The 9,910-nt window shown below is 48.3% G+C and overlaps 1 protein-coding gene across 2 annotated transcripts in view, besides 4 other annotated features; it reads right to left on the reverse strand.

The window, feature by feature from the left end:
- KCNK10 (potassium two pore domain channel subfamily K member 10) overlaps positions 1-6,833 on the reverse strand; it is a 146,805-nt gene extending 139,972 nt beyond the window's left edge. The window contains exon 1 of one of the 2 annotated variants that reach the window (NM_021161.5): positions 6,340-6,833. In NM_021161.5, coding sequence (NP_066984.1) covers positions 6,340-6,376 — 37 coding nt within the window. In that variant the 5' untranslated portion in view covers positions 6,377-6,833. Of the gene's footprint in view, positions 1-2,667; positions 3,191-6,339 lie in introns of those variants that run through there. The other variant, NM_138317.3, reaches the window with a different exon arrangement.
- Positions 2,536-3,195: an enhancer, noted in NCBI's record as "H3K4me1 hESC enhancer chr14:88788959-88789618 (GRCh37/hg19 assembly coordinates)". NCBI's record gives its function as "activates a minimal SCP1, AML or CMV promoter by ChIP-STARR-seq in naive H9 embryonic stem cells {active_cell/tissue: H9 hESC(naive)}" and the evidence as "EXISTENCE:reporter gene assay evidence [ECO:0000049][PMID:30033119]".
- Positions 3,478-3,717: a silencer, noted in NCBI's record as "silent region_5990". NCBI's record gives its function as "represses an Ori minimal core promoter by ATAC-STARR-seq in GM12878 lymphoblastoid cells {active_cell/tissue: GM12878}" and the evidence as "EXISTENCE:reporter gene assay evidence [ECO:0000049][PMID:35858748]".
- Positions 3,768-3,827: an enhancer, noted in NCBI's record as "active region_8837". NCBI's record gives its function as "activates an Ori minimal core promoter by ATAC-STARR-seq in GM12878 lymphoblastoid cells {active_cell/tissue: GM12878}" and the evidence as "EXISTENCE:reporter gene assay evidence [ECO:0000049][PMID:35858748]".
- Positions 6,133-6,647: an enhancer, noted in NCBI's record as "H3K4me1 hESC enhancer chr14:88792556-88793070 (GRCh37/hg19 assembly coordinates)". NCBI's record gives its function as "activates a minimal SCP1, AML or CMV promoter by ChIP-STARR-seq in naive H9 embryonic stem cells {active_cell/tissue: H9 hESC(naive)}" and the evidence as "EXISTENCE:reporter gene assay evidence [ECO:0000049][PMID:30033119]".
- Positions 6,834-9,910: the final 3,077 nt, after the last annotated feature.

Here is a 9,910-nt window from a genome sequence, read left to right on the forward strand (position 1 = left end):
CTGTGCACAAAGTCAGAGCAACTCCACTGGAAGGCAGATTAGTGGTGTCATGATGGCAATCAAGTGCCAAATGGAACTATAACACTTATACCATCAGATAAGTATTGTGAAAATAATTGTATGAAACAATGTACATAAAGCACCTGGCATGCAATGGTTGCTCATTAAATGTTGTTATTTTTATTGAGGTTTTTTTCATTTTTAGCACCACTGGTTGTAACTGAAGGTGCTATTTGTATGCTTTTCTTCACTGTGTCAGGCTGTAAAATGTGTAAAATTTGTCTGTGTTCATCACTGTAACATGAATATATAGAATGATGATCACACAGAAATGTACCTTAAAACACAAAGCCAGCTTCACAAAATCAGTCTCACGGTACTCCCTCTGTTCCTTGAAGATCCTGACCCCAGCACTTAGACAGCTGCCCACCTAACACACCCCTTGGATGGCTTGGGGACATGTCCTACTCAACAAGTCCTAGATTGAACTCATGAGCTTTCCTTCAAGACTGGTCCTGCCCTGGCTGCCATCTCAGTCATTCCAATTCCTTCACTTCACTTCCACACATTATTCATGCAAAGCCTGTTGATTTCACGTCCTCTACAGCTCTCTACTCCGTCCGCTTCTCCATGCCCACAGCAACCACCCTGGCCCATGCTACCATTGTATCTGGTCCCCTACATCCACAAGAGCCACACAGCACTTGTTTTGAAACTTAGCTCAAATCATGTCACTCCTCGTCTTGAAACTCTTCATTGGCTTTAGATAAATACTATACTCTTCCAACCCCACAATGCTACCCCACCTCCAACAACACAGGGCTTGGAGGGGGGCGTCTCGCCTGTGGATCCCCCAGTCATATCTCAAAACACAAGCCCTCTTGCTCTCTGCTAGGGATAAATACATTTTTCAGGGATTTCCCAAAAGAAAGCCAAGGCATACTTCCGTATTTCCAGAGGTTTCAAATAGAGACAAAATGAAAGGTTTGTGCTGTATTTACAGTATAACAGCCTGGGTGTTTAAAAAAGGCAATACCTCTTCACTCACTCTGCCATAGCCATGGGAACCTCCTTTCAGTTCATCATATACACATACCTCTTCTGCCTCAGGCCCTTTGCACTTGCTGTTCCCTCTTCTGCAACAATTCCCCTCCTCCTTAGACAATTAACTCCTATACATCCTCCAGGCCTAAGTCCAAGTGTCATGTCCTCAGGGAAGCCTTCTCTGGTCCTTGTCAATCTCTTCTATCAGACACTTTCTTAAACCTCTGATGCTCTCCCTGGAGCATACATAAACTTTGAATTATGCATTCCTCCATGGAATTGATTTAGGTCTGTCTCCCTCACTGTAAACTCCAAGTCAGAGCTTTTATCTTTCCTGTTCTGACTGTATCTCCAGAGCTTAGGACAGTGTTTAGCATGTAATAGGTATTTAACAAATATGCTTTTCAGGGATTCTCCCCCCAAAAAAGCAAAGGCACACCTCCATATTTCCAGAGATTTCAAGTAGAGACAAAATAGAAGGTTTGGGCTGTATTTAAGATGTAACAGCCTCAGTGTTTTAAAAAGGCAGTATCTCTTCACTCACTCTTCAATAGCCAGTCAATTCCTAAGACATTTACTCAACAAATAAGATGGTTTCTTCTTTCCAGTCTGGAGAAAAAGAAGAAATGCGCTCATAAAGAACATTAAACACACACGCACCCCAAATAAACAAATTTCAATTCCAATACACACAGAGGCGTTGCCTAGCCTGACACAGTCGTCAGATGAGCTACAAGAAATGCTAAAGAGCATTCTTGTCACAACTGGACACGCGGTTCCAACTTGTTCTGCTCTCATACTGATCACTCCCTTGGAGCCTTAACATCTGTATGCTAATTACAGACACGGTGGCCGACGCTAGGCACACACAAATCCGTCTTAATCCCTCCCTTTTGCGTGGATGAAACCTGGTCCAACATTCGTAAAAGCATGCAAACCACACCATTGCTTGGGCGGGCACACTTCGTGCCCCTCCCCTATGCCTTGCCAGCCCCACCCTTCTCACAAACCACCCCTCCTCCTGCTTCTACTCTGACCTGAGCCTAACTAGCTGCTAGGTTTGGTAATAAGATTGAACGAAGACTCAGGAGGCCCTGTGGGCTCCATTATTCTGCATGCCCTGCGAGAACGGCCCACCCCTAGGGACGGCTGCTGCAACTCGAGCCCCACTTGCTGCCAGGAAACCTTTCCCACTGAGGACACCCGGGCATGCGGCGCAGCTCCAGGTCCAGGGGGAAGCACCCCACCCATCTGCCAGAGAGACAAAGATCACCAGAAACAAAGGACACACACACACACACACACACACACACACACTCGCACACTCAAAGTCAAAAGCAAATACCGACACTTGCAATTTCAAACCAAACAGTCGGCTTGGTCTATCTAAATAGATCTGGAGACAATCTAGGAGGGACAATGATTATGTGGTAATGACAGGCACTATCTGGGTTCGGAACCCACGCTGCCTCCGCCCTCCTCCCACCCGCGCTGCAGTTCCCAGGCGCATTTCCCAGCCTCAGGACACACGCTGCCAGAAGCAAGAGTGCTTCCACTCAAGGAAGCGCGCACACGCCGGAGACAGAGGCAGGGCGAGGGCAGCCAAAAGTAGGAAACACCCACCTTTAGGATCCCAGTTCACCTGTTTTCTTGGCGTCTCGATTGGAAATTTCATTGCTTCGTTGCCCAGAAGGGGAAGAAATGAAAAGAACCCAAATAATAATAAAGTCCTCAAGCTTTACACGCCTCGGTTTAGCAGTCCAACAAAACAATTTCCGAGGATGGGGGAGCCTTGGACTGGCTCGTGGAGGAACCCCAGAAAAAGACAGGTGGGAAAATATTAGCTTGGGGGAGAACTGGAGAGGGCTTGGGTGTTTGCACCGGCCAGGGGGTGGCCGGCCGCGGCCCCGTGGGTAAAAGAAAAAGTAAGATCGGCGAGGGGTGGATGAAAGGATGGAGAGGAAGGCTTGGGGAGATGGAAGAGCCAAGCTGCTTCCCAAAAGCGGTGCCGGCAGGTTAGGGGCTGCGCAGCCTGAAGGCTGGGGCTACGGAGAAGCCCACTGCAGTGTCACTCCAGCCCCCGAAGGCGTGTGCGCACACACTCCCGCACACACACACCCGCACACACACTCCCGGGCGCGCGCTTGGGCGGGCACGTCAGCCTCGCTCGGCCGCGCTGAGCGCACACGCCCCACCCCGGCCGCGGCTCCTCGCCCCCGGCGACGCCCCCCACTTCCCGCTCCCCGAAAGCCATTGGATGTAGGGGTGGCGCGGCGCCCGGGCAGCGCGCGGCGAGGGCGACCCTCCCCGCGGCGCGCCCCAGACGCCGCGCCCCGGCAAGAGGGAGCAGGGCGAGCAGCGGACCGAGGCTCCCAGCTGGGAAGGCGCGCTGAGCCCCCGGCACCCGGCTCGGGGCAGCGGGAGGCGGTCGCGGACTTGCCCGCGGGGCGGCGGGAGGCGGTGGGCGGTGGCGGGGAAGCCGCGGAGGGGCGGGGAACGAGCGGTGGGCGCGCCGCTACTTACTGGCTCGGCCGGCCGGCGGGCGGGCGTGGAGGCGGCAGCGGCGCGCTTGCTGGAGTTGCAGCCGGAGACACGCTTGGTTGCCTGGAAGGCGCTGCAGGAGGCGGAGGAAGGGCCGCTGCGGCTCCGCCGCAGACCTCGGCCTCCGGGTCACCTCTTCTCACCGCTCTCACCCTGAGCTCTCCCTCCTTCTCTTTTCTCACTTCATTTTTTTTCCTCCCGCGTCTGGCTCTCTCGCCTGAGTCCCGAACCCACGTCCCCGCCGCACTCCAAGGAGGCCCGTGCCAGCCATGAGCCTTTTGTTCTGGGACCGCTCCGCATCTGCTGCGCTCTCCCCGCCCGGGGAAGCTCGCTCCCAAGGCACAGCTTGGTCCCTTCCCCAGCTACCTGCAGCCGGACTGGGGCCGCTGGTCGTTGGCTGGAAAGGAGGCTTGAGAGAGGCACGGGGGCCCCCGGAGGAAAGCGGAGTTGCCAAGACCCGGCAGCTCCCGGAAGCGGCGGCCCCGGGATCCTGGGACCAGCAGGGCAGATGCGAAGGGACCCAGACCTGTTCCCGGAAAGGGGCTAAACCTGGAGCATTCGTCTAACGCCCTCTCACTGCCCCTGCTTGAAGCCCCACAGGGGTTTGTGGTGGGGCCTCAGTCTTCAGAAAAGCCAGGTGGTGCTGAGGTGCTCTTGAACGGGTCACTCCGAGTATCAACATGAATGATGCTGACAAATTGCTTCGGATGCCTCGCAACGGAGCCTTACACGTAGTAGGTGCTCAAGAAATACTTGCTAAATGAAGACATGAATTGCATGCTGCAGTGTTGGATAGGAAGTAGTTTAAACCCCTACTCTGGCTTCCAGATAAGGTTACTAAAATTTGTTGTTCATTCAACATATATATTGAACCCCTTCCAAGTGCCATCACTGTGCTATGTGCTGGCCATATGGCAGAGAACAAGACAGAGATCTTGCCTTCATGGGGCTTACTATCTAGTGCCATAAGGTCCTGTTAGATTGTTGTTGCCTTTACTTACGCATAGAAATTGCCCAGCTCATTCCTATGCCTGCCAGCTGGGGTCCTAAAATCCCACACTAGCAGCTGATCTCTAAGTTGCATGCTACTCTACGGCACCTTGAGGCTTCTGGGGAGCCCTATGTCAGCAGCATCTTTCTCACCATCCATCCGTCACTATCACATCAAGGTTTCTGAGTCCAAGAGCAAGACCTACAGAGGTCCGCTGTGGTCTGTGGGAAAGGTGAGTGCTTTGTCACTGGGCTGTCACAGGCACCCCAGGCTGGAGCCCTGAATTCTCTGCAAACCCCGTTCAGGCAAAACTGGTACCAATCTGATGGTGCTACTCTGACTCTTCAGCCCTTTAGGCAGGTTCCCGGGTGCTTCAGAACCATCTTCCCTGGACTCTGTAACCACACTTTGCCTCTCTCTACTAGGACTGGGAGGATGGCTAAGACATAGAAATCAAACAAACAAGGAATCTCTGCTTCTCCCAGCCATGCCCCGAGACACCAGTGTGTATGTAAATTCTGTTCTCAAGTCCAGAGGGAGATGCTTCTAAGAAAGGCTTTCGAACCTCCCTCTGCGCTCTTCTCTTTAACTGTTCACGGACAGCTGGACTCTAGCACAGTCACTGCAATACAATGTTTTTTACATGCATCAGAGTCAGAGAGGGGCTTCAGCAGAGAAAGACACCCTCTCCTGAGTCCTCAGAGCACGGGGAGGCAAGATTGACATTTACTGAATTCCCCCTCACCATCTCATATTTCCTCTCCATTCATCTTTGTTAGATCATTTTGCAGAAGCTGTAACTGGCCTCCTTTTACAGATGAGAAGATCAAGGCTCAGAGAGATAAAGAAACATTCCCAAGGTCACGATATGAGGATTCAAACCCAAGTTTGTTGACACAAAGGTCCATGCTCTCCATGCCAGAACCTTGTGAGCTCATCCAGTCCCGGGACCCATGAATCTGACCCTGAACCTGTCCCATGGGTTCGTTTGGGTAATGAAGGTCTAAATACGATATTTTCCAAGCCTCCAGGCCCTCCTCCTTTGCAAAATGAACTGACCTATGGTTGTGTTCTGGGGTCTGCATTGGGGAATTAGTTCACTGTCCAAGGCAAATTCCTGTGGCAGGAACTGCACCCTTAGGATGCAACATCATTCGGCCAATCAACAAACATTTATTGAGCATCACTTGTGTACAAGACAGGTTGCAGGTCCCCATTAAAAGTTATTTGGGGCCCTGAGTAGTGATGACCTTCCCCAGAATGGCAACAGCAGGATGGTTATAAGGGGAGGGTTGGGGATGGGGAGGTGGGGGTAGACTCTATTAGGGCAGGGAGCAGGATCAGTGTCTAGTGCTCCTGGTCTGCCTTGAAGACTTGCACTAGTCATTGGCCCTTGGGATGATCTCTCTGCTTAATCACTGGATGCCGCCCCCTCCTTTCTTTTCCCCACCTCCAACCTCTGGAGCTTTCTCTCACCTCCACTTTCATTCTCCTTTCTCAGAATGTAGACAAAAGCAAGTTACCCGCCCCCCCCCAAAAAAAAATCCACCAAAATTAGGTAAATAAATCCCAGTACCGTTTCCCAAAACGTGTCTGAAATCAAACACAACTCCTCCTCAACTGCGTATTTGGAGTGGACTGCATGGAGTGGGGATGGAGGGAGACCTCCCTCCCAAGAAAACTTAGCCCTTTGGGCTACTGCAATCCCCCTCCATCCCCTTCGGTTCTACCCTTTGGTTATTTACAAGCTGGACTTCACTTACCCAAGGAAAGAAAGAAGTCTGTGTAGAGAAAAAACATCCAAGAAAGATGCCGCTCCAAGCGGTTCTGTCTCCCTCTGTGCCGCCGCAACTTCCATGGCTATTGCTTCAGGCGGGTTAAGTCTGGTGGAAAGAGACTGCCTAGCGTTCCTGCGGCAGGAAAACAAAACATCGTGGCGCAAAGTCTCCCTGCACTCGCCGGCCCCCAGCAGGAGACCCGGGCTGGCGGCCACTGCGTCCTGGGTGCACTCGGTGGCAAAGCGCTGCTACCGGGCACGGGTCTCTGCAGCTCAAAACCTGCCCGGCTGGAGCGCACCAATAGTTGCCCCACCACTTTAATGAATGCCGTGTGGCCCGGCATGGGAAGGCTGGGAAAGCCCGAAAACCCCAGTCATCTCTGGCAACGAAGTTTCCCCGAGTTGGCTGGCTCCCTTACCCCCTCCCCACGCTCCAGCCCGGGGTAGCTGTGAGACCGGAGGAGACGATGCCTGCCGCGTGGGGAGTCTCAGGGTGGCTGGCAATGAACAGCTCAGCCAGAGAAGAGTCGAACACGGATTCCGGGGCGAGTCAGGAGAATTTCCTGGGACAGCGAATGGCAGGGAGTGATGAAGCAGCTTGGGGAATCCTCTTTAGTGCCAGTTCTGCAAACAGAAGAGGGAGGAGATGGGCTGATTAGAATCTACTTTGAATTCACAAATATTAGACTAAATTCATTAATCTGCCTTGGATTGTTTCCCTTTGGTTTCATCCTTCTTCCCTGAAGTCCAGAAGAAATCCCAGTCTTCCATCTTTTCCCCACCCCCAAGACACCTCCAAGTCCTCTTCCCAAAAGAACTGCAGTCAGGTTTCCATGTCATTTTGTGAAAATACCCCCCGCCACACACACACCCTCCTTTACCACACACACATACACACAGACACGCAAGCATCCCCTTCATATACCCACTCAGTGGTAGTAAAATTGATAGCGTTATACATTAACGTGAACTTAAACGTGCCCCACCAAAAATTTTCTTCCCCCTACCCCCACCTCGTGAAGTTTCCACATTGGTCTCAGCGTTTAAGCATGCCTACATTTGTTTTCTAGTCCCAACTGACATCTGCAAAAACACACCCTTAAATATATGTTGCTCTAATCCTGGGCTCTGCTTTTGGCTTGGAAGAACTAGAGACACATCAGAAGTGAAAGGACAGAGGGTGTCATATGTCATACACCTGGAAGCGTGAAGCTAGGCTGCTCCATAATGAACTCTGTGTGTGTAAGTCCTGCAGATTTATTTTGATGACTCAAACCTCTAATTGGGGATTAATGAGGATAATATACTATAAACTCCAAAGAAGTTGTAATTAAAGTGTCAGGCTGATGGACATGATTCATAACCAGGAACTGCATCCTCTTTCCCTATAAGTTTCTCTATTTAAAATCTTAACCCTTAGGACAATATTTTTATGCTCCTATAAAGCATTGTGCCAAACATCTTACCAAAAATGTACAGAGCTATAGTCCTTCTTCTTATAGAACAAGTTTTAGAGTTTTTCTCTCTCTGTATTACTTCCAAACCATAATCCCAGGTAATTTTTTAAAGAGATGGAGCTAGAATATTTTTGCTTTTCCCCTCCACTATTTACTTTGAAAATTTTCAAACACACAGAAAAGTTACAGTTGTTTGGTAAAAACCAGTGCCACAGTTTGAATGTGTTTCTCTAAAACTCATGTAAAACTTACTCTCCAATGTAATTGTCTTAAGAGGTGAGGCCTTTAGGAGATGATTAGGTCATAAGGACTCCCCTCCCACTTATGAATTGGTGCCTTTTAAAAAAGGGCTTGCGGGAATGAGCTTGTCTCTTATTGCCCTTCTGTCATGTGAGGACACAGCAAGGAGATGCTATCTCGGAAGCAGAGAACAAGCCTTGGTTTTGGACTTCCCAACCTCCAGAACTATGAGAAGTAAATTTCCATTATTTATAAACTAACCAGCAAAAACGGACTAAGACAAGCAGGATCCAATCAAAGATTGCATTTGCTTGTTCTGTTTAGTGTGTTTTATTCTAGAAAAGCGTCTTCATATTTTTCTAATGCCATTGATTTTTTTTTTCACAGAATCCAAGCTCATTTGCTTTCTGATGTGTTTAATGGCCTGACGTAGCTAAAGATAAGTTGAGTCAAAGGGGGAAAATTATTTCCTGGTCATAGTAGATCATTAAAATAAGTTAACATTTTCTATAAACTTGGCATCTGTGCCAGTATCCATAGAATGGAAGACAGTTGTAGCTCCACTCACTCTCCTCCTTAGTCTTTGCTTTATTCAAAGAAGTTATCTTTGTTTTTTATCCAAAAGGTCTTGTTTCAGGAATGGATGAGTGTTTTCACACATATACACCAAGTTGACAGGCACATATGGTATTTTACTGAATTTAAAAATAAGAACTCAGCAAGGTCACACACCATAATGAATGAGCTCTGATTTTCATGTCGTTCTAGGAAGGTTTTAATTTGAACCAAACTTAAAGACGTGTAGAAAGCATGTGTGCTTTCAATAACCTATTGATTTATGAGCAAGTCTTATTCTCAGGGTCTTTCAACTTGGCAGAGTTGAAAATTCTTTAGAGGGACCTACTGTCTGGGCATATGGACAGATGCTTCTCCCAGAGAGCCTATGAAAGGCTTGGAATAGCCTGGAGAGTAGAAAAAATTGTGTTCAGTAGGAAGTGAGACACAGTCTCACATTGCTTCTCAGCCTTTTAGCGAAGATCAAGTGTGAGACAGAGTCTCCACCTCCTATGGGAATGTGTGAAATAAATTCATTTCATTTTTGCTGCTCTTAAAGCTAATATTTGTTTGCTTGAATATCATTGGAACAAATGTAATATAAGAACTTTCCTCTTCTACAATTAAGTCAGCTAAATGTTTGCTGAATCATGAAACCAGATTTCAAAGAGGTCATTTCAAGATTACTGGTTCAGTCTTCTACTTCTAAATAAGAGTCCAATATATATGACTATTCAAGGTTTCTAAATATATTTAGTGAAAGATTCCAAACCCTTTGTTGATGGGCTTTTCCAAAATTTAAGAAACTTCGGTGGAGTAAAAATATTCTCTTATTTCCAGTCTAAATCTCTTTCTTCTTTAAATTTTTCAGTACTTAAGTGAAGATGAGGAGAAACCAGTCTTTTTCTGTAACTGTTATGTATTGGAGATTAAATTGTTCAATGTCCTCTTCTTCATATCAAATAACCCTTTTTTACCCCTTTACTGACATGTATAGGCTAATATGGCCAACTCATACTTTTCTTAAAAGCATTCTTTTTCACTACAAGTTTCAGAAAAAAAAATCAAAGTCTTTCTAAGCCTTACCGAGTTTCTGCATCTATAAAATAGGGGTTCATAATAAGAACAAGTATTTGGCCAGCTTATGCACATTTTAGCCCACCGTTCTTTTCAGTAGGGAGCACTGCAAAACCAACCAAGTGAATCATGCCAAGCTTTATTCAGTTTCCTCACCTGTAAAATGGAGCACTAAATATCTGGCTAGTTCTGCCTACAGGGTTGCTGTAAGGAGGCAATAGATGTGGA

Source organism: Homo sapiens, chromosome 14, assembly GCF_000001405.40.
Source record: "Homo sapiens chromosome 14, GRCh38.p14 Primary Assembly".
Classification (NCBI taxonomy): Eukaryota; Metazoa; Chordata; class Mammalia; order Primates; family Hominidae; genus Homo; species Homo sapiens.